This window comes from Homo sapiens, chromosome 13, assembly GCF_000001405.40.
Source record: "Homo sapiens chromosome 13, GRCh38.p14 Primary Assembly".
Classification (NCBI taxonomy): domain Eukaryota; kingdom Metazoa; phylum Chordata; class Mammalia; order Primates; family Hominidae; genus Homo; species Homo sapiens.
In genome coordinates, this window is record NC_000013.11 from 44,106,681 (window position 1) to 44,131,793 (window position 25,113).

General features: G+C 40.5%; 2 long non-coding RNA genes across 2 annotated transcripts in view; one reads left to right on the forward strand and one right to left on the reverse strand.

Moving 5' to 3' along the window:
• LINC00390 (long intergenic non-protein coding RNA 390) overlaps positions 1-25,113 on the reverse strand; it is a 41,645-nt gene that overhangs the window by 590 nt on the left and 15,942 nt on the right. Inside the window, exon 3 of the long non-coding RNA NR_132368.1 lies at positions 412-537. This is a non-coding gene — a long non-coding RNA (long intergenic non-protein coding RNA 390). The remainder of the gene's footprint in view (positions 1-411; positions 538-25,113) is intronic.
• The window catches only part of SMIM2-AS1 (SMIM2 antisense RNA 1), a 43,531-nt gene continuing 22,286 nt past the window's right edge, over positions 3,869-25,113 (forward strand). The window contains exon 1 of the long non-coding RNA NR_104065.1: positions 3,869-3,932. This is a non-coding gene — a long non-coding RNA (SMIM2 antisense RNA 1). The remainder of the gene's footprint in view (positions 3,933-25,113) is intronic.

A 25,113-nucleotide genomic window follows, 5' to 3' on the forward strand; every position in this document is an offset into this window, starting at 1 on the left:
CCCCCACTCTCCCCTTGGCCGACTCCTGCTAGGCATTCATAAGTCCCAAGTCAGGAATTGCCCCTCTAGGACACCCACCCTCCTACCTCCTGTGTTCCCACCACACCCGTGCTTTCCTCTGACATCACACTTGCCCTTTAGGTGACTTCTCTCCTGCTAAACTGTGAGCTACTTAAGGTCAGCATTCGGTTTTACTCTGCTAAGAATCCCTAGTGCTATAAACTTCATAAATGTTGAGTGAATAAATGAACAAAAGTGGCCAATCCAAGCCTTTGTGGGGAGTATTAGAGTAGGGTTTAGATCTGGAGTACAGAGAGGGCCAGACACCTCCTACCTGACTACAGAAACTTCCCCTCTCCTCTGCCACCCCTCAGACTTTGATGCTCTTTCAGTCATTGGTAGCAACGATACCAGAAATGCCTTAGGAGATTCATCTTTGTCTGTGAAGCTGGAGGTGTCAAAGGAGTTCTGCTCTTTGCTTTGGGTTCATGGTTCATTCCGGGAGGCTGAGAGCTGAGGCTCTGCCCTGGTGGGTTCCTAGCAGAGGAGAAGGAAGATGCAGTTTCAGAATCCCACCTGATTATATTTACTTCGGCAGTTATGGCTAAAGGTGCTCTAGGTTGGGGAAACAAGAATCAGAGGATGCTTCCTTCCCATTCGACAGTATATATCAATCAACACGACTTTCTTGAGTTAACCCCAACATCTTCAAGTACGATTTAGAGGCAGCCCAGAGAACCTGGTGCAAGCCCTGAGCTGACACAGTGCAGGATGAGAAGGCAGACACTAGGGAAGGAAGTTCATCTCTCTGCAGATACTGTAGGTAACTGAGTGTGCATGGGGCTACTGCCCTAGCCGGGCCATGACCCGTTCAACTTTCCACCAAATATCTCTCCTCTGCGCCAGCTTCTGAGGATTGGACAGAAGCCAGGTGGTGCTGCAACCATGAAGACCCATTATTTGCTAACTTGGGCTACTCTCCTTTTGGAACCCTCACCTGCAGGTGACCCCCATGCTGCACAGCAGGCTCAGGGTGGTGGTGGAGCCTCCTGTGCACGAAGCTCCTGTGGGGTGCTGCTGCCCTGGGCTCCCTTTTCCTCATCTGTGTGCTCTGTCTGTTTACTCTTTACCTACGGATTCATGAAACACACGTGAAGCAAATTGGCAGCAGGGATTGGTGGCCAGACAGATCCAAGGTTGAAGTCCCTGATCTTGTACTTGCACAAGTTGTCTGTTGTCCCTGGGCCCTATTTTCTTTATCTATCCAATGAAGCTAAAAATCCCTACCTTGCAGGTTGTTGTGATGATGAAAGCTGTTTCTCGACCTTAAGTACACATTAGAATTCCCTGGCGAGCCTTAACATGCCAATGCCCTGGTCCTACCCAATCAGTCTTTGGAGAGTAGACCCAGGCACCAGTATTTTGAAGATTCCTGGGAGATTCCTAAGCGAACCCTAGGTTGTGAACCCTGGGTTACAGACAATGTGTATAACCTGAGTGACATACTGCTTTCAGAATAGACTATCCCATTAATAAATGATACCAATATTACTATAATATTATTGCTGCTCCTAATCTTCCTTCTGCCAAGAAAGGAAGTACGGTTGTGGGCCTAAAATATCCAAACTGTAAATAACAGAGCACATATAAGTGACATCACTAGGCTCCAAGCTGCTCAGTGAGATAATAACAAGAGTGACTTGAAATAGCCAGTCAGCTGTGAGGACCCCAGTTCTTTAAAATACGTGCATGCCATCTCTCACGTCCCTGCCTCATCCAGCCTGGGTCTATGCCAGTAGAAACTTTTCCAGTTAAAGCCCAGTGCCTTTATTTCCAGTACTGATTGTCACCTGGGAGACAGCTGTCAACTTGTGCAACCCAAGTTACCTTTGCTCTGCAGTAAATAGATGAGTCACAGTTGGTCCTAGCAGGTCAAGGAACAAGCAGCCCTGGGCCATCCTGTCTGGTGGCTGAGGCTGCTGAGACAATGCCCTTGGTGCCTATGAAGGAGTCATAAAGTTGGGCTTGACACTCTTTAAAGTTATCTTAGTTTGCTGATTGTTTGGCTAGAGGGACTGGTGTTGAGCCCTTCCTGGCTGTATTAGGGCTTTGCATGATAAGTGTAATTAGGGTGAGAGGAGGCTGAGCAGGCTTCAGTGTCTGAGGTGGCAATGGGTCAGGCAGAGCAGTGCAGGTCATTGACCTCAGTAGAAAACCCCCAAGCTGCACTTTAGATACCAGGTCCCTTCTTTTTCCAAACTAAAAACGTCCTGGGTGTTGGTAGCAGAAGGGCCGACTATAGGTTAATGTTGCTACTTATCCTGATTTGTGGGGCAGGGAGGGCTAGCTTTAGTTTTAAGCCAAATGTTTAAATGTTTCTCAAATCTATCTACCTCTTTACCTCCAAACCACCCAAGTCTGGGCCAGAATCATTAAAAGATGGTGCACTTGTGCCGACTTGACAGCCACAGCCTCCCACCAGGATCCCCACATTCTCTCCTGCCTCACAGAGCAGCCAAGATGATCCAGCCTCACCTCAGGTCAGACCATTTCACTCCCAGTGTGAAACCCTTCCGTGATTCCTTGATACTTTTGGGATCAAGCCTGACCCTTTGATGTGGTCTCCAAGCCTAGGTCAGCCTGACCATCATCCTCTTACCGCCTGACATTGCTGCAGGTGGGTGGAAGGCCTCGGCTCCTCTCAACTCCAAGCTTCTTTTCCTTTTAGGTATTGGAACCACATTCTTCCACCCACCTGGGGCACTTTCTCAAGCAAAACTCTCAGCCGCCTTCAATTTTGAGCTTAAACTTTACTTCTTTTCTTCCTCCCCCTAGAGTTCCTCACACATGAGCCCCTTGAACTCTGAGTTTGGGATCCTAAAACTTCTTAAGCTTTATTGTTACCCCTTACCTAACCAGAATCTAAGTTCCATGAAGGAGGGACCTCATCCATACTCCCCATGCCAGTGAATACATTTCGAGTAAACCCCAAAAGTATTTGCCAATGATAAGGTAAAAGCAGTGGGTTTCACAAAGGACAATACCATTTGCAGAAGAAGCACCACATAGCAATAAAAACCCAAATGGTTATCCAGATTATGTAAGGGCCACAATCATGGGCAAGGTCCCTATCATGTGTAAGAGACAATGTGAGTTATTTTGTCTATATGAAATATGCCTTTTGTTTGGTAGTTGTCATTTTTTCAAAGAACTTTTTGCTAGGCTATCGAAAAGGTGAACGACTCAGGAGAATGGGCATTATAGTTGACGGTTATTTAGCAACTACAGTGTGCCAGGTCCAACAACCTTATGAAGTAGGTGCAATTATTACTGCCATTTGGTGAATAAGGAAACTGAGATGCCTAGGAAATTAAGTAATTTGCCCAGTGCTATACAGCTGATCGGTTGAAATCGTATCTGAAGCCAGGCACTGCCATTCCCAGGCAGGCACCCATTGTACTGTCTCCCTGTGGAACTGCAGATCACCTTCCAATATTGAGGGTCTTCCACATTTGCCGGAAAATACCATGGGCTGAAGATGTGCAACAGGCTTTACCTCCCTCTCTCAAGAGGTGGAGCTGGTTCATGCCTCAGAACATAAAAGGGTGGGGTTTGATTTCTCATCTTTGTGAATTATTTCTGAAGAGTTTATTGTATAATCAGTGACTAAGTAATTGTGGCCACGAGGAGATACAAAGATGTTTCATTATGGATGGTGTAATATTTAACTTCACGGAAAGGACCCGGGGCTCTGTGGCTTCCCATCCGTCTTGTGACCCGGAATCATGGTGATCTAAAAGAGCCCTGTGACTCTGGGAAATTTGTTATCAAAGGATGTTAGCCACAAGTCCTGTTGGCAAATGGACCCCAGGTGGCCTGCAGTGCCAAGCTGTTTCCCTGCCAGCCTCCCAGTCTGGCCCTGACTCTCCAATGTAAGTGAGGGGCACAATGGAAATGTTATTTTAGGCCTTTCCACTTTAATTGCATTTCCTACAAGAGCGTCTGCGGGTTTTTCTTCATTTTGCTGGTGCCTCCCATATGAGTGGAGATCCACTGAGCAAGGTCATTGACCTACTAATTGTTAAAGGCATGTAGAAGCTCGGAGGGCTCGGTTCTCAACAATATCCTAATTATTATGCATTGGTTAGATGTTCTCTTCCCCATACTGTGTTATTGGGTTCATACTGGCTTCTAGTAGTAAAATCACTTGCTCTCTCTCTTAGCATGGTGACAATTCTGTTGTGATTAACTCTTTCCCAACTTCTTGAACCTGAGAAATATATTATTCTATTACAAGGAGTTCAAAAATCGTATATATATTTTTCTCTTTTATAACACACTTCTATGAAGTATCAGACATTTCATTTGCACTTTCTCATCTAACCTTCGCAACATCCTTATGCATACTTATTATTATTGTGTCCACTTTATAGAGGGGAATATTGAACAGAGGATTTGTTTGTTTTGTTTTATTTTGTTTTTAAGTGACTGACCTATCAAATGTCACACAACTAGTAATTAGCAGACTGGGTTATAAACTCAGGCAACTGGCTTCAAGCTTAACTACTTCATGCTTAACTACTGTACTGTGCTATTCTACTTTACTTCCTTGTATTGTTTTTAACTTGAGAGATTTTTATCCATTATAGTTGAATCCATGACTCTTGTTTGCTTGTTTATAAAAAACATATGGTCCTGAGTAATTAGGATGTATTTCCCAGCATCGTTCAGTTTCCATGACACTTACTCTTCCAACCCCAACACACACACAACTGTGCACAACATACAGTTGAATGCAAACATATAAATGTTGGTGCATTTTCCTTTTTGTGATATAAAATTGTCCTCTTTCTTATACACAATCACCTGACCAATTTTTTCAAGATGATCTAGAACCTATTATTTGTAAGCCACTTTGGAAATTAGGGGGACTTTTCTGAGACAGAAATAGCATCACCAATAAATATGGAATTCCAGGGAAGGTACACATAGGGTCTTAACCCTGGATGGACAGCGCTGATCTCTTCAAACCTTTTTGGAACTGATTTCACTTCACCTTAGAAATCAACCACATAACACATTGGGTTAGATCAATGCATCCTCTGTATCTCTTGGAGCAGCACCAGTGCAGAATTTTCCTTCTAAGATCAATGGCAGGCTGGGAAAATACCCAGACATCGGTACACAATGTGACAAGCAATAAGGAGTGGAGGTAAGAGATCCAGGCCAAGCCTTGGCCTCACCCACGCTTACTGGTCTTATGATCCTAGGCACCTTACAGCTTCTTTGAGTCTTGCTTTTAATTTCTTCACAATGGGCCTGACAATACCTGCTCTCCTTCTAGACTTTTCAAAGGGTGAAACGAGATGACAGCAGAAGCTGCCAGGCATGGTGGTGAGCACACAGCAGGCCCTCACTAAAAGTGGAGTCCAAACCCCACACCTCAGCAAAGCTGGTTTAGGAACACTCCAGGGAATTTCTCAACATTTTTCCTGTAAGGTAATTTCTTAAAATGAGTACATTGCTAGATCTCAGATCCCCAAATTTCCAGAATATAATAGAAATGAAGTTTCAGTCACTTCACAGTGAAACTGCAAAGAAACTAAATGGAAAGTAAGTGATTTGAAGACTGTCAGAGACACAAGGAAGTAGTCTCTTAAGAATCATTTTCTTTCTTCTAGATTTGGATTTGGGAGTAGATTATTTAGATTCTTTTTTAAAGTAATTTAGATAAATTTTGAACAGTTGAACTATTTAAGGTTAAAAAGAGTAAAGATAGATAAAGGTTAACAATAATTTGATAACCGGACAAAAAAGTATAAATCATAGTAACTGTAACAGAACAAAATCCATTTTCCCCACTTAGAAACAGTAACTATTAGGTGGACAGAGCCCAGAGAAAACACTTTAACAGTATTGTTTGCTGAAGAGAATTCCTGTAACTAAATCAAAAATATTATTTTCGTGGGCCCTCTACCAAGGCATAGAAATAATTTTGTTATTACAGGCTCAACTTTCTAGAGATGATTTTGTGAGAGGATTTCACAAATGGTCGTGCTTGCCTTTTAAAGATAAATGGTGATGAATACACTGAGAAATCAACTACAATCTTCAGGGTATGTGTGAGTCTCAGACTCAACACCTTCATGACCTGTTTCCTTTTCCTGTGAGAGTTAGGAATCCCTCCTACGTGTCTGCTATTGCGTAGAGATGAAAATTTACTTTCTGTCATGCTGGGTCGTGGAAGTGGCAGAGGTAGATCTCATCCCTCTTGGTATTCCAGCCATTTGCCTTCTTCCTCTCTCTGCAGAAACGCATTAGTAGACGACTGCTTTCAATATTTGGGCTTCTCAAGAGGCTATTTTTGTTGTTTGTGACTTACAACTCATTAGAAGATGGTGAAAGATAATTCTGTACCTCTGTGGCTATTCAACTCCTTGAGAACTGTTTGCTTATGAAATCAAGCAAGACTGGAGAGGGTGCTCTGTGACAGTGAAAGAAGCCCAGGACAAATAATTTTAATTGGCAGAAGCAGTGCTGACTGGGACCCCAGACAGCCATCTGAGACCACTATAACTTTCCTCACTATTGCCTGTCTCTGTTCTGGTAGATGCTGGGTTGTGTGTTAGATGTTATTTTGCTTTTAGAAAAAAAGAAAAGAGAAAAGCACCTGAAATTATCTCTTCTTGCATTCATTCATTCATTCATGAAATACTGATTGAGTGCATATTGACAGGCAAAGATCTGTGCTAGTAGCCGTAGTGATCAGAGCCAGGCCCAGGGTAAGGCAAGTGGGGCACTCATCCCAGGGGCATCATTTAAGGGGACACACACAAAAAAACAGGAATCAAGGTAAATAATACCTTAATGCAATATTTCAAGAAGTCAAAAGTAATGCCAAAAAAAAATTTGTAATAAAGACAGAATCAGTAACAGTGCTATCCCAGGCCATATTAGTGCCTGAGGCAAAAGGAGAAAATTGAAAGGAAAAGAGAAAGTAGAAGGAAAAATATTGATCCTGTCTTTATTCACAATGTTGACATATAGTTCATCACAGATTTTGCACTCATTTTTTAGAGTGTCCCATTAAAATATTATTTATTTTGACTTTGGGGGACCCTTTTAAATTTTGTGTCTGAGGTAAACACCTCAGTGGCCTCACACTACTCCCAGTCCTGATGGAGATACAGAGCTCCTGCCCTTCAAGAGTTTATAGTAATAATGGGAGTGCTACATGCACTAAACAAATTACTGTATTTTTTTTGTAATTACTTTCTTTTTTTTTATTATTATACTTTAAGTTTTAGGGTACATGTGCACATTGTGCAGGTTAGTTACATAGATATACATGTGCCATGCTGGTGCACTGCACCCACTAACTCGTCATCTAGCATTAGGTATATCTCCCAATGCTATCCCTCCCCCCTACCCCCACCCCACCACAGTCCCCAGAGTGTAATATTCCCCTTCCTGTGTCCATGTGATCTCATTGTTCAGTTCCCACCTATGAGTGAGAATATGCGGTGTTTGGTTTTTTGTTCTTGCGATAGTTTACTGAGAATGATGATTTCCAATTTCATCCATGTCCCTACAAAGGACATGAACTCATCATTTTTTATGGCTGCATAGTATTCCATGGTGTATATGTGCCACATTTTCTTAATCCAGTCTATCATTGTTGGACATTTGGTTTGGTTCCAAGTCTTTGCTATTGTGAATAATGCCACAATAAACATACGTGTGCATGTGTCTTTATAGCAGCATGATTTATAGTCCTTTGGGTATATACCCAGTAATGGGATGGCTGGGTCAAATGGTATTTCTAGTTCTAGATCCCTGAGGAATCGCCACACTGACTTCCACAATGGTTGAACTAGTTTACAGTCCCACCAACAGTGTAAAAGTGTTCCTATTTCTCCACATCCTCTCCAGCACCTGTTGTTTCCTGACTTTTTAATGATTGCCATTCTAACTGGTGTGAGATGGTATCTCATTGTGGTTTTGATTTTCATTTCTCTGATGGCCAGTGATGATGAGCATTTTTTCACGTGTTTTTTGGCTGCATAAATGTCTTCTTTTGAGAAGTGTCTGTTCATGTCCTTCGTCCACTTTTTGATGGGGTTGTTTGTTTTTTTCTTGTAAATTTGTTTGAGTTCATTGTAGATTCTGGATATTAGCCCTTTGTCAGATGAGTAGGTTGCGAAAATTTTCTCCCATTTCAAATTACTGTATTTTAGGGTAAAAAATGATACATGCAAGGAGAGAGGATATGGATAAATAGCATAGGCACTAACAAGAAGGAGAGTGTATTTCTACCTAGGGGTCAGTGAAGGTTTTGGAAGAGATTGTGTTTAAATAGAACCTTACCATGTTCTGGCTGGAGATTAAGAGAGAACGGACTCCAGAAACCACATCAAGTTTTCAAATGAAGAAAGAAGCATTACCAGGTCAGAATAGAGTAAGGGAGCTCACCGCCTATAAATGGAGAAAGTGTGCCAAGTGTGGATGAAAGGGAGTGCTTATAGGGTGCAAAGTATGTCTGGGAGTCCTTCCTGTGGCACAGGAGAAGGCCTTGTAGGGGTGGATTCATTTTAAACCACCTTATATAAACAAGACCCTTCTTTCCAGTTCTCCAGATGGAGACAGAAGCCAGTGTGTGGAAACGAGTGAATAAATCATGCTTGTGAATGATGAAGGAGGAGCCTTGTACCTAAAAGTTATCTTCATTCATCAAGTTAAATCTTGCCTCAAAGACTAATCTCTGACCCAGCAAGCAACATTCTGCAGCGGTCAAGATGCATGCCAATGACAAAAATCTTAATGTACAATATCAAATTGGTATAAGCCACAGTTACACAAAACAGAGGGTAAAGCATGAATTCAGAATCTTCTACAAATTAATATCCAAGATTGAATCAGGGCTGAGCTAGAGGGTTTGATTCTGAATCTTGTAATTCATTCAGGGCCCACCCTCCTTTATTTACTACTAACCACCTTAAGGTTCAGAAACAGAGATTCTGGGAGGTTGTTTTGACCTAGTTCTCTGTTTTGAATAAGAGGAATCATTTGTGAATCTCTACTAACCCAGCTGGAGGAGGAGCAGAGAGGAGATTCCCACTATGCAGAGTGAAAGGGAGTCAGTAGCAAGAGTCAGTAGAGATCACCTGACCCACAACAAGTCAAACCTAGACTGCTGGGCAAGCAGTGAATGGTCACCATTAGCAATTATTTGTTGGGTTAAGAAATGAACAGCACAAATCCTGCAGATTGTATTTTTCTAAAATTAGCTCACAATCACATAATATTTAACAGGGAGGGGGAGAAACAAGCCACCTGAAGATAAAATTGATGGCATTCTATGCTCCCAAAAGACACTTACAATCTTCCAGGAGGAGTGAAGGTATTCACTGTCCACTGGGTGACTTTACACCCACATCGTTAAAGTCTTTACCTCACCTAGAGGCTTTACTTTCTCAGAAAACCAAATGATCAAGTTACCAGATTAGAAAAACAATCTGTTTTAAGAATGAAAAAGTTTTGGCCTAAAGTGCACTGATGCACTTACTTTTAACAGAGTGACAGGAGATAATTTTTCACAGACTCAGAGGAGGTGAGCATTGAAAGGGGGCATGGATGTCACTAGCCCAGTGGCAGTACAGCTGTGGAATCCCTTCTCCAGGGGAGGCCCCTCAGCTATCCCAGTATGTAAAAGAAACCGAAGGGAGCTGCTCTGGCCAAAGTCAGAAAGGGCCTGGAAACCTCAAATCACAGCTTTTGCATAATCCTAAATAAGCCAGTGTAAAACCAAATAAAACAAAACAAAAAAGGAGACAAAGAAGAAAAATCCCCAAGGAAGCAGAAGCAGTGAAAGTTTGGATGATTTGCTCAAAGACACACAGGTGTAACGGATGGGTTTGGGATACAGCTCCTGACTCCAGGTTCTGTTTTCCTGCTATGCCCACAGATAGGATGTCAAATCCAAATGATGCCATTTCCCCTGGCAGTGTGTGCGCTCACAGGACCCACATGGTGTATCTGTAAGGCACACTGGAGTAATGGATGGAGGCCATTGGCCCTTGGGGACTGGGTGGTTACAAGCCTGGCCCAGCCACCCTGAGGGGTGAGAGACATTTTTCTCTCCATACACCTGTAACTCATCCCTGTGGGGAACACGAGCTGGGAAGCTCTAGGCTATGTAGTCTGGCTCCCTACTCTTCCAGAGAAAAACAAGAGAGGAAAAGATTTTGGCCTGATCATGTTCTAACTGTGCCTTCAGTGTTAATCATGTACTGTTTTCTACACTTGCTCAGCAGCAAGATCTCCTATGCACCTGGAACAGGGCTCTGTGCTAAACCACGTCAGCAGAAGTTGGCTGTGGGGATTGGGAAAGAGGATGGATGCCAAATGTCTAGCACGGTGGTGACAACAGGAGGTACTCAGTGAAGAGCATTCTCTCCCACCTCCCCACCCACCCGTAGAATTGTTACCAACAGCAGCCTGTAAACCACAAGGGGGACATCGAAGCTGACTTCCAGTAAACCAGGCTTGCTCAAAGTGGTTAAGAAAAAAAAAGGAACTTTTGCTTTAAACATAGCTTTAAGAAGAAAAGTTGTTTCTCTTTCAACTAATACAAATATATTTAATATTTGAGATGTTGGCTACATCCACCCTTAATATTATTTTGAAAAGTTCAAGCAGTAACAGACCACAAATTGAGAGATATGCAGGCTTCCTCAGATGTGTCAGCTCGATTACACTACTTACTCTGTGGACTTTCTGCTCAGAGATTAACTGTAACCGTTTCATTTCATTTCACACTTGCCCATTTAAAATGGTATGTCGCTGAGCTAATGCACTTAGCATAGCCATTTCCTGTTTGGTTTTCCTTTTCTATTTAAATACTGTAAAAGACATTGCACTATTCCCTGTGTGGGCTTTAATCAGTAAGTCTAATTTTATTGTGTAAATTACATAACCAGTGGCCTACAAAGGCATCTGCTTCTAGCCAGTTGTGTGACCTTAGGCAAGTTACTTATTTTCCTTGGTCTCAGGTCTTAGTTAAAAAAAACAGGATTAATAACGCCCCCACTGTTAAGAAAATTAATTGTTGGGAGGATTGAGATAATGTGCTTACATTTCTTAGCATACAGGCCCCTTCCCAGATTCTTGTAGGAAGGTAAGAGAGTAATAATTCAGATTCTGAATGTGCTAGAACTATTCTAAATGCTTTTTGCACATTTACTTAATCTTCTCAAGGACCTTGTGAGCTAGAAACTATGATTATTCTCATTTTACAGAAGAAGAAACTGGGACATAGAGAGATTAAGGAACTTGACCCCACACACAAGTAAGTGGGGTCAAGTTCATGCAGTTGGTTCCAGAGGCTGAATTCGTAGCTCTACGACCCTTGCCAAATGTAGGTTCCTAACATTAACATTTTTGGGTGATTCCATATGTCTGTGATTCATAAATTTTTGTGAGAGAAAGCCAACTTCTCTTTTAATATAGTCAAAGTGCTGGACAGAAGTTTAATAATTCTATTAGTATAGCCTCTTTTCCCAAGAATAATACTAGATTCAAACCAAGTCAGATAAATGGCTGCCCAGGCACCTTCCCCTTCTCTGCTAAATGTCCTCTTAATTTAACCAAAGTCTCAGAGAAAACCAAAATCTGTCCTTTGAGTTTCAAATGAATTGCCTCATATTCCCATCTGAGGGATGCTTGCACCCCTTTCTCCTCCTGGATTCTAGATGGAGAGGGAAGGTGTAGCTTTATATGCTGCCGGTCAAGTTCCAATTCTTTCCACAGAAATATTAAATCTATGTATAAATATGTGTATCCCCACGTTGTCCACTGTGGGCTTTCTCTAACATGTGGATCTGGATGTCAAAAATCCAATCCCTTCCCTTAATTTACACACACACACACACACACACACACACACACACGTCTTTATCTGTTCTGTTTTGTAATTTATATATACTTTAGATCCTTTGCTGAAGACTTGGATAAATAAAGGAGTTTATATGATACCAATTCCAACAAATTAAAACAATTTAAAATTGATGTTATATAATTTTTTTCCATCAACTGGGGCCTGTACCACGTGGTTCAACAATCTCCCCACTCTTCTACCCAGATTCTCACGAGTAAAAAAATAGTACACTTTCCTTTTTTTATGCACAGCAAGTCAACCCTGTCTTTGTCCTATCTTTTCCTTCCATAACTTTCCTTAGGCTTTTTTGCTCAACTCTTTGCATCAGGCTGGCTCATCAAGGTAGGAGAAATTCTGAAGCCAGCTGCTGAGATAGTCTGTTTTCTTAGATGGCATAAAGATTGTCCACAACTGGAATAAGTAATGCATCTCTGAGATTAACCAACCTTGACAGTTACATAGCAAGTTTCAACATCCCATTTTAATTCTCTCTCTTACAACTCAAGGCAACTGCCTCTTGTCCTTTGTTCAGAAACCCAGGGTGCAGGATTCATTAACCCTTAACTAATATTCCATTGTAGAGATTGTGGGCTTCTTGGTGTGAAAGCTGTTTTTAATTTTCTCCAACCCTTGAGGCCACTGACTGGAGGTGAGGAGACAGAAAGTGAGGCAAGAGAAGAGGTTACCTGGGAAGGCTCTCAGCACTATGGGGGTGGGAAAGAAAGAGCACTGATCAAAGGACAAAGGGGCAGACTTTAGGTGGCACCACTGGAGACGACTCAGAGAAGGGACCATGGCAGAGACAGGCTCAAAGCTTGACTTGTCTGGGAGCCCTGCGAGAATAATTTTCAATTTTCAGTAACTGAAAATTAGGTCCAAGTCTGCCCTGTTTTACGTTTTGCTAATGTGCAGCAAGCTGCCATTTTCTTTCCTCTATTCCTTTGATCTCATGATCAGCATTTCCAATTAATATTTGTTTAACACCAGGCCTGGGGTAGATATTTGGAGAATAGACTGAGAAGAAAATGCCCGCACCCTGCCCTGGAAACTTTCGGAGATGCCTGCTGATTGTTCTGGTACTGCTGTGCTCGTAACTTCAAAGCAAGTGCGACAGCCATTCTGCCCAGATTCAGTCCCAACCAGCTTCCTACTGGGGGAAGAAAGAACACAATAGGAATTAGTTAAATTTCCAGTTTTGCCAAATACATGGACTTTGGCACGCAATCAAAATGTTTTTATAAAAGTTAAAAATGCTTTATGAAAGTGTACACTTACAAAGTAGAAAGCTGTTCAGCCCTAGTCCTACCAGCCCTGGGAATGCAGACAGCCTGGTCCTGAAGGATGGTGGCCGGGGGCAGTAAGATCTTCCAGCAACACTTCAGAGTGGATGCCATCAGATGACGGCTTCTCCTCAGGGAAGCCATTTGCCATCAAACAAAAATATTTCCTTTCATTTAATTATGTGGATTTTTGCTAAATTAAATGCACTAAGAGGCTGGGATCCAACATTTACAAAGGAGAAATCTCAGACTCCTCTGGTTTCTGCTGGCCTGTGCTTTCTTGAAAACAGACACCGGGCAATGGAAAATGTGGTAAAAGTTTTAATGCTCATGCTAAAAGGAAAAACACCTTTCCTTTCCTTTCCTTTCCTTTACATTGGCCAGCCACGCCTGGCAAGGCAAAGACCAGCTGAGTGAAAAGTCATTTGTGCAAAATCCAGCCAAGCTGTCAGTTGAGCTTAGCAAGTAGTGACTTGGAAACAAAAAAATTAAGGGAAAGAAACTCATCTTCAGATATATTTTATTTTGGTGTTATATGACAAGGAGTAGATTGAATTCACCTTCAAACAAATGTTTTCGAGAAAATATCCCAAAACATACCATTTTAATTTATATTATATTAATGCTTGAAATGAAATGGGAGAAAATGAAAAGTAGTGAAAACCATTTTCCATAAAGTAGGATATATTTGCTCTAAAATTTCCTATGTGATGCTAGTCTTTTATGGAGCTGAAAAAAGGAGGAGGTAGAAAACAGGGACTCCTAACAATATCTATTAGTGTTTTCTCTAATTCAGCCACAGAGGGCTTTACATGTTGTTCTTTGCTTGATTCCAAAACATGTGTCCCCAGGTGGGAAAAGAAATCTGGTTGTAGGGAGAGGAGAAAATTCTACTGTTAGCTTTTCCACATGGCTTTATTAAAAAATCATTTTACTTTTTTTGGGAACAATTTTTATATATGAAAAATAGAAACATAGATGCTTCCTGACAGATCCCGATGGTCCCATGCCTTGAGACTGTACTCAGAAAGGTGAAGAGATAGAGATGTTTCTCTCTGCTCTCTGGCAAGTGGGGCAGTGCCACACAGTCACTGCCTCAGCACCACCACCTCCCTGTCCTAGCGCCCAGGGCAACTTAGGATGCTTCTGAATCTGTACATAACGCTGAAGTCTGCAAAAGCCTTCTCTAACATTAAATTCCCTTGTCAACTCTTAGGCCCCTTTAAACCGTGAACAAGACGACCCTTGTTCTGGAAAATCTATCTATCTTGCCAACACACACACATATACAAAAACACAACTGTTGGGCAAATAAATCTTTCCAGAGAAAATAGATTCTTTTCCAATTCAGTCAACTGTACTGAGCTGGAAAGCGAGAAATGTTATTTTTCCAGGATGAAGGAAAAACAAGATCTCTCCTTGTTTGCCCTGTCTAGCCCATTTCAAAAGAAGGTCAGTTTAATGCCTTCATTTAAAAAAAAAAAAAAAAATCTCAAGTGTTGTGTATCAGAAGACACTTAGTTCCTTTCAGGCTGGGAATCGCACATTGAGGCTCTGTGTTTTTTTCCCTTTGACCTAAGATACACATGGCAGGGCTGAATTGCCTACCGCTCTGGAGATGTCAAAAGTATCAGGAGTGGGAAGGACGGAGTCTGGTGATGTGGAATTCTTTGCTATTGGCCAGCCTCCTGATTGCCAGCCTGTGTCCCACTCCAGTCACTGAGCATGAAAGATGCAGCTTATGAATTGATCCCCATTTCATTCAAGGCCACACACATTCTCCATGCTTACTTCTCCATATTCCCCATAATTTGAGGGCCTGGATCATCCCCTTGGAGAGTGAGAAAACATGGAGTTATAATGTTCCTGGCTGAAGAGCATGGAATAGAATATAAATTAGACACAATGCTTGTCTATTCCCTGGGACGCTCTTTAGGACTTAAAATTCTAAGTCTCAAGGAAGTCCTAACTATAGCGACAGTAACTGGAGTCTGAGGATTCCAGCTTCCTTGTTCCTCGACGCAAATATAGGCTTCACATGTATAGCATGTAGCATATAGTTGATGCCCAGTAAAAATTTGTTTCTATTTTTTCACCAAAAAATTTCTATTTGCCATTAGATATGGCAGAAAAAAGGTAATAATTTCATATATTTTCATTTCTTCCAAGCATCATTAGTTCTTGTCTTACCCAATTTGTGGTTGCCATAAGGGTATGCAATTATGCATATTTATTCTCTGCCTCATCCCAAACCTATTCCAAACAGAATAGCCTAATATATGGCTGCTGGGTCACAGTGGCACATGAGCCAGAGCCAAATGGAAAAAAATGCAAAATATCTTATTAGTAACTATATTGATTACATGTTAACAAGATAATATTTTGTATATACTGGATTAAATTCAATATATCATTAAAATCAATTCGACCTATTTCTTTTTACTTTTTTAATATGGCTACTAGAAATTTAAAATTACGTATGTGGCCTGCACTATATTCCTATTAGATAGTGCTGGTGTAGACTACTCTATGAAATATAGAATTAATAAGGTAATAATTGAAGGTAAGGGCCTATGGTAATAACTAGCCTTTATGGCACATTTACTATGTCTGGCATTTTATATGATTTTATTTCATTCTAATTACATTTATGAAAGGTAATTATTATTAGCCCATTTGTTGAAAGTATTCTGCCCAAAATTTTATAGCATGCTAACAGAGCTGGTATTTAAAATCTGGGTTTCTGGCAGTAAAAAACATGAGCTTTACAATCTGAAATGATATCTCTTAAGTATTCTTTAAAAAAAAAATTCCCAAGAATGTTGACATCAGGTGACCTGGAAAAAATAGGAGTATCTGTTCCATTAGTTCCTAATTACGGCTTTAAAATTTTGATAATCTGAAAATCAGTGTTATATATTTTTTATTACTGAGAGGAATAGTAATAGAAACATTGGTCTCTAACCTATGAATTTAAACTGGAGAAAATTACAAATTAAGCTTCTGTCTTTCCTAAACACAGAAGAAAAGGGAAACTTATTTGATGGGAAAGAAGTTAATATTCATTGAGCACCTACTATTTCCATTCGTGTCCCATAAATGCATTATTCTTAACAGGTCCAAAATGGAAAACATCATCTTTTTTTTTTTTCTACAGTTTTTTTTTGTTTGTTTTTCTTTTTTTTTATTATATTTTAAGTTTTAGGGTACATGGCACAAGGTGCAGGTTTGTTACATATGTATAAATGTGCCATGTTGGTGTGCTGCACCCATTAACTCGTCATTTAACATTATGTATATCTCCTAATGCTATCCCTCCGCCCTCCCCAACCCCACAACAGGCCCTGGTGTGTGATGCTCCCCTTCCTGTGTCCAAGTGTTCTCATTGTTCAGTTCCCACCTATAAGTGAGAACATGCAGTGTTTGGGAAAACATCATCTTTATCCCCAAACCAGCTCCTCCTCATCCTCCATTCTCTATCTTAGGTACAGTCACCTGAATCTACCTTCTCACTTATGCCAGAAACCTCATTCTTTTCTCAGCTCCTCTCGTTTCTTTACCCTCCTTTCAATCTTGCCAGTTTATAGAACACAGGTATTCTTACTTTGCCTGAGCAGTACAGATTGTGCTTCCCTGTGGCTGTGCCAAGTTCTTATTCTTATCAGCAGAACATTTTCCCACATCCCCCAGCACATGGAGTTATTCAGCTTGCTAATGTTCTCCAAATAGGCATAAAATTATATCTCATTATTATATTAATTTGCTGAGGTACTTATGATTTGTTCGTTTTTTGGGGTTTATTGCTTTGTAAATTGCCTGTTCATATACTTTGCCCATTTCTGTAAATGAAGTTACTCTCTTTACCTTGTTTGATTTGACTTCTTCTTTGATCTGGTCTCTTCGTGTATATTCTAGATAGGAATCCCTCATCTGTTTGAACATTATAAGTCTCTGTCCCTATTTTTAAATGTCTTTCTAATGTTATCCATGTCATGCGTCTTTCTGTATAATAAAAAAACTTAATTTTGATATATATCAAGAATCAATGTTATACCACATGGCTTTTTTGAAGTTTTTGTTTAAGTTTTGAAATGCTCTACTGACCCAACATTACATACATTTTTAGAACAAACTTATGATGAATTTCAGACTAGAATTTTGATGGAATTACACTGTGCCTACTAGATATATGTGGAGAGGGTTAACATCTTTATGATATTAAATCTTCCCATGTAGCAATAAGAAATATTTCTCATTCATTCAGGTTTTTTTCTGTGTTATTAGGATATTTAAGTTTTTTCAAGGGGGCTGTATGTATTCTTGTTTAATTACCAGATATTTTTAGTTGTTGTTGCTATTGTAAATGGTATCTTGCTTTTTAAAAAATTACATTTTATATTTGCTTGCTGTTGGAAATGCTCTTATAGTTTGATCAAATGTCCACCAAGTTTTTATTGTTTAGCTGTTGATCCTATTGTTTATTCTGAGTAGATGTATATAAAATCTGCAAACACTGACAGTTAATTTCTTCCTTTCGATCACCATTTTTATCTTTCTTTCCTTCAATGTGGGCTAGGATTACCAACAGTATAGTATTGGTTGTGTTATATAGTGGCTTATCACAGTGAGAATGTTTGTCTTAACAGGAATGCACTTAAACTTTCTCCATTAACTATAATGTTTGTGGAGGTTTTGGAATATAACCAAAATCCACTTAGGGGAATTAAAGAAATCCTTTTCTACTCTTTGCTAAGAGTTTTTATCATAAATAAGCAAGGAAATTATCAAGTACTTTTTCTGCATCAATTGAAATTATTGTGAGATTTTAAAAAATTTAATTTACTAATGTTCTTAATTTTGTTGGCAGAATCCCTAATAAGGAATCATTCATTAATCAAGCTGTATTATTTTAAAACATACCATTGGGTTCAATTAGCTAATATTTTAAAAGATATTTTTCATCTACTTGAGTATGAGAAATTGAGCTATAATTTTCTTTCTTTCTTTGTAAAACACCATCATTGTAAAATGTCCATCTGATTGCGCCAATATCATAAAATGAACTCAGTAGCTTTTGCTCTATCTCTTTTGGAATAATTTAGAATACAGATTAGAATTTGTTGTTCCTCAAGAGTTTGATAGAACGCACCTGTAAAACCATTTGGGCTTACAATTTTTTGAAAGGAGAGATCATTGATTGCATTTAATCTCTAAAATCTGTTGGTTTAGTCAAGTGTCCTATTCTTTATGTCAGTTTTGGCATTTAATATTTTTTCATTTTGATTAGGTTTTCAAAATTTTTATATTTTAATAAGTTCACATCCCTCTTCTAGTATTTCAGTGTTTTTTTGAAAATGATACCTGTTGATAGAGAATTCAAACAATATAGAAAATATTAAAAAAAATAACAAAAATCCACCCCAAATCCTATGCTCCAGAAATAATCATAATATGAACATCTATATATTTAGGTATTTTTGTAGCAGTCACCGTTCTATGTACAGAATTATAACAATATTAATAATAACAATAGACACACATATAGTACTTATTATTATTATATACTTATACTGTATTAGTCTGTTCTCGCATTGCTGTAAAGAATTATCTGAGGCTGGGCAATTTATAAAGAAAAGAGGTTTAATTGGCTCATGGTTCTTCAAGCTGTACGGGAAGCACAGTATTTCTGCTTTTGGAGAGGCCTCAGGAAACTTACAATCATGGTGGAAGGCAAAGAGGGAATGAGGCGTCTCACATGGTGGAAGCAGAAGCAAGACAGAGAGAGGGGAGGTGATACACACTTTGAAACAACCAGCTCATGCAAGAACTCACTCACTCACTCACTCATTACCACAAAAACAGCACCAAGACGATAGTACTAAATTATTCACGAGAAACCACCCCCACGATCCAAACACCTCTCACCAGGCCTCACCTCCAACACTGGGGATAACAACTGAACATGAGATTTGGGTGGGGACAGAGATCTAAACCATATGAGATACTGATAGAAGAATTACGTACATGTATAGATAGAAGAATGGATGCTTAGAAAGCTAAATGATGGATAGACAGATATATAACCCTGCACGTATTTCTATTATAAGACCCACAAGAACTTTTTATTTGCATTTAATGATCACAAATATATCCCACACAGGATTCTGCACTCAATGAGAGTGGGAACCCTGTTCTATGCATCACTGCAGCCAGGCTGGTTTCTGGCATTGATTCCAACTTTATAGGATGTTTATTGAATGAGTGAGTAAATGAAGAACATGCAGTGCAATGTGCAAACATTGTTCAAGGAACGACATATGTTTTGCTTTTGTAAGCCTTCCCAGCCCCTTGCAAAGAAGATGTATCATCCCCATTTTTCAGATGAGGAACTGAGACAGGAAGAAAGTAATTTGTCCAGGGCCTAAAGAGCAACCTGCTGGATTCTGGCATGGGCTCTGATTCTGATATCCCCCCTTTCCACTATACCGCACTGATACTCAGAACAAATACCCCAAGAGGCCAAAAAAGGTATGAAGAATCTGCAGTTCCTTCATTGAAAAAATATTTATTAAGCTCCTTCTAAACACCACGCACTGGGATAGGAACCGAGTTTCAATGACTCCTAAACAGGGCTCCTGCATTGTATCCCAACAATGCACAAAAACAACCTATGGTTATGCTGTGGCTGTGCTCTGGTGTGTGTTGTGTGAGTGAAGGGAGAAGTACAAGAAAGAAGGTGGTTCCCAGAGGCCTCCTATGTACAAGCAGGAAAATAGAAGGCAGGCAATCAGAGGAGTCAGGGACACTGCTCCAGGCCAACACGAGCCCAGCAGTGGAAGTGATGAAAAAAAGAGGGCTCTGTAGGAGACACAAGCAGACCTGCTTAGAAAACAGCACCCACTTTGGGCCTACCAATTAGCGAAAAAAGGCCCTCTCTGCTGACCAATTAGAACAAGGTTCCCTTTCATCTCGCTGACCCAGCCCCATGCTGCACACATCACAGGGGCCGAAAAAGAGCGGGTCTCAGCCCTGACTGCCCTGGCTTAGCTGAGTGCCCTTGTCAGAGCAAAACCCACATCATCACCCAGCCCCCTGGGCGAAGCGCTTAGTAGGGCAGCCCTCATCATAGCTCCCTTTATTTAAGGCCACTTTAACAAGTCATTAGAACAGATCCTGGTTGGTTTTATGACATCTGCCCACTAAGGTTAACAAATATGTCAATCAAGAGGATTATAATCCAAGGAGGGAAAGAAGGCAGGGTAGGTTATTTTCTGGTGACTTTCATATTACCAGAAATCCGAATTAAGAATTTCAGATTTTTCTTTTTTTTGAGACAGTCTTACTCTGTCATCCAGGCTGGAGTGCAGCAGCACAATCTCAGCTGACTGCAACCTCTGCCTCCCAGATTCAAGTGATTCTCCTGCCTCAGCCTCCCTAGTAGTTGAGATTACAGGCACCTGCCACCATGTCCAGCTAATTTTTGTAGAGAAGGGGTTTCACCATATTGGCCAGGCTGATCTTGAACTCCTGACCTCAAGTGATCCGCCTGCCTCAGACTCCCAAAGTGCTGGTAGTAGAGGCATGAGCCATTGCACTGCCCAAGAATTTCAGATTTCTTAACATTGTTTTCAAACATCACCAGTTCTCCAAGAAGCTATATACACTGGAGAAGAGCGTTTGAAAACAATTTTTTGTACCCTGTTCTTTTCTCTTTGTTAAAAATTTTAAATCTTTGTTTTGAAGTTTAACATACACACAGAAAAGTAAGTGCACAAATTTTAAGTGTACAGCTCAATGAAGTTTTACAGAATGACTACATCCAAGTAACCAGCACCCAAGTCAAAAAACAGAATTATTGCTAACATCCAGAAACCCTCTCATATCTTCTTCCAGCCACTGTTCCCTCTCCACAGGTAACCTCCGCTTCTAACTGCTAACACCCCAGGCTCACTTTGCCTGTTTGTGAACTCTACATAAATGGAATAATTTAATGGGTTCTCTTTACTGTCTGGCTTCTTTTCCTTAACTTTATATTTGTGAGACTGATACATGGCCTTGCCAATAGCCAATAGTCCATTTATTCTCATTGCTGTATAGTATGCCTTTGTGGGGATGTATCATAAATTATTTCATTCATTCTACTGTTGATGGACATTTGGATCATCTTCGGTTTAGGGCTAATGTGAACAGTTACCAGCCTGTTTTTAATGTTTGATTGTTATTTACATACCCCTGCCAAAAGCCGCACCAAATGTGAATGTGAAATTCAAGGGCTGATAAATTGCTGTGGCCGTAGGAAGCAAAAATAACTGTAAAGGATCTTTTATCTTGATTAGAAAACTTAAAGATATGTTACCGTATAAGGCAATTATATACTGTATAAGCAATTATATGCAGTTCATTGCATAATGCCAGTAGTCATTAGACAGTGAGAAGCAAACAAGATTGATGAATTTTCAGGTAAAGAATAGGGATCTATGTGATTCTGGCAACAGCTGGTCAGTTTTACCCTCTGCATTTAGCAGAGCTTGGTAAATTTTTTATGATATGACAATGTGATATTCCTAAGATTGCGCGTATAAACTGTACTGATTAACTTCAAATTCTGTGAGGTAGGTGGCAAGTAGCATCATTTTCATTTTCCAGAAAAGGGAGTTTAGACAAATTGCTTTCCCTCCCTCTCCCCACGCGCAGGACGGCAAGTCAGTGTCATGGCTACAGAACGCATAGGCTTCTGCCTGTGAGCTGAGCTTCTCCAACTGTCCTCCCCACATGTGCCCAATATGCAGCGGGAAGGCAGTGGGAGGAACTGCAGCCTTGAGGTGGGAGGAATTCTATTAATACCTTGGATATTTATAGTACTCTGGAGTACTTGGAGCATCTTTTCAGAAGAGCTGGCCAAAGTCTGTGACTCATATGCCAACACAAGGAGCAATGTCATTTTGGAGACAGGCTGTCACATGGCGCTTGCAACTTCCGAACTCCTTATAGGGGCCAATTTCTCACCCCTGGTTATTATGTTCAAGAAATTGATGAATTAATCAAGGAACAATCCTTGAAGATGTTTTCTGGGCATCTCCACACAGGCTGGCTCCATCCCAGGGGTTCTTTGCCTTTTGTGCTGTGAATTTCCTTGGCCATCTGGTAAAGGCTTACGGACTCCTTTTCAGAATATTGTTTTAAAATGCGTAAAATAAAATACATGGAATTACAAAGGAAACAAAGCATACTGAAATACAGTTATCCGAATTGTAGAAACAAAAACAAGTTTGTGATCTAATAATATGTGTGTTTCTTTGCTGACATGTTCCACAACCAGATCTAGAGGTGAGAAAAGAATTAACAAAATTTCAAAGTAATAAGTATTCACAATATTTGACAATACCTGCAATAATGTGATGTGATATTAAAATAATTTTCTTTCTATTGGTGACAGTCACAGATACTGCAACTACTTCTGCAGTTTGCTGCCTATCATCATAGTTGAAAGAGATTTAAAATTTCCATTAGAGGTTAGTAAAAACTTCAGAGGTATCTTTTTTTCCCATCTAAATTCACAGACACCTGAATTCTATCCCTCATCCCTGAAATCTATTCGTACCTTAATAACCCCAAAGATGGCTCCTAGGTTAGGTGCACACACACACACACACCCCTCTAAACACCATCAGCTATCTGAAACCTGGCAGCCTCTCTCCAGAAAGCTGGACTCCAGGCCAGTCCTGCGGCCAGGCCAGAGAGTAGGAAGTTAAGGGCTTGTGATTATGAATCTCAGATTCTGCTACTACTACCAAGTAAGAATTGGCCTCAGGTGTAATCAAGGTCAGTTCCCAGCATGGCTCCTTGTGACAGGGCTGAGTAACAGGACTTCTTTTCAGTGATGTTCTGGACAATTGACAAGTTCAGATGATACCCAGGAACTACTGTTAATATTAAGTTGATGCTCATTAAGTGGATGAAAGCATTATGGTTATTAAAGAAAATGTCCACATTTTTAAAAGATGCATGCTGAAGTATACAGGGGTAAATAACATATCTGGGTTTTATAATTAGAGTTTTTTTTAAATGCCTCTGGGTTAAAAAGGGGATGAATGAAGCAAAAGTGGTGAAAAATTCAATTAAAATTTCTGGACTCTAGATAATGCTTATATAGGGGCTAGTTATACTGTTCCCTCTGCTTTAGCTTATGTTTAAAACTTTTTCCTATAAAAACCTTAAAAATAATTTTGGACCAAAAAATTAGGTGGAGAATAGTTTTTTATAGCGCCAATTTGCTTTTTATGATAACTATTACTCAATTTAGTTCAACTTACAACGCAATGGCTAAATTGTATCATTTCTCATATAGTAAGCATATGAGTTTTAAAAACTGGTTTTCTCCATACCTTTTGCCAGTTGTCACGCATGCTCTCACCCTCCAAGAGTTCATAGTTAAGCTATGAAGACATAATGGATACACATGAGACCAGAGTTGGGAAACAATGTCAGATAGGGTATGATGTAAATGCCAAGACAAGTGATAAAGATGGAAAATGTGATACATGTTCAGGAAAAGGGGAGATCAGGGAGGGCTGGAAGGCAAGGCTGGTGGCTTTGAGTTGCAAGTTGTTTGCTGCCTATTGGTCTCAGCTTTGGATTCATTGCCTCTTTTCGTTTAGGCGTCTTTCTTTGCATTCATTTCTCCATGGTAGAATTCCCTCTGGATTCTTAAAGCTTGTAAGTGACAACCTTCTTGCTTTCGGTGTCTGCCTGTGCCCTTTCCTTACGAGGCTGTATTTGACACATACTGAGTCTCCATGGATGTGCACCCTCCATCTGCTCATGGCTGCTCCATCTCACTGTTCTGTCCCAGATGGTGAACTGCAGCCCAGGTGCTACCACCACCAGCATTCTTGCCCACTCAACCCAGTGTCCCCCTGGCCCTGTGTGGCAGTAATGTCTGCCAGGCAGGCAGCCAGGGAGCTAACATGCCCAGACCTGACAGTGGCCTCAGAGGAGAGCCCCTTCCTGCCGTGTGCTGGGGAAGGGGACAACTGTCAGCCATAAAGGAAAGAGTGGACACCTAACCAAGATAGGGAACCCAGCTGGTGCTGAAATCACAGCCCTTCAAATGGGCTAGAATGATCTCCCAAAACAGGAGAAAAAAAAAAATCCCTAGAAGCGATTCAAAAAGACCCAAGTCCAAATTCTGGATGATCTAAGTTGAAAAAAAAAATCCCGACATTGCCTAGGTCATTGACACAAAAGAAAGTTTTTCTTTGCTTTTTTTCCCCTTTGGCTTATTCTCATTCTGAATTATCTGAAGCACTGTGAACAGGTTACTTGGCCATGCTGAGTTGGCAAACAGATGAAGCCATGTGGGCGAGGAGGTGGGATGTACATAAGCATCTGCCATCCACATCACACTGGGAGACTGCCGTGTTGCGGTAGCCCTTGGATCCTTTCATGGCTTAGAACCACAGGTTTGAAGTAAAAAAGAAAACATCAAATCCATGTTACTTAAGAGTGGTAGGATTCAAGAAGACTGTCAGAACACATTCCCTGACTCACAGGCAAAACTTTAACCCAAGCAGTCATCCGTCTCTGGACCCTGCCTTCCCTGGGCTCTGCATCATTCCCCACACCTCCTTGGTTATGGGGGACTCCATAGGAGACTCTGGTCTACAGACTAATTTCATTCTACCTCTCATGTGTACAACAATGAAAACAAAATGCTTTAACATCATCAACAACAAAAGGACAGCTGCTGTTCTGCATCTAGGGGAGAAGCTTCTCAAAGGAAAAGACATCAAGGTGTGGCCATGATTTATGCACACGAGGTCTGAGTCTGACCCGGAGAGGCTGGGACACAGAATTATTGAACTTTTGCTGAATGAAGTAATGGGAATTTTGAGTTTT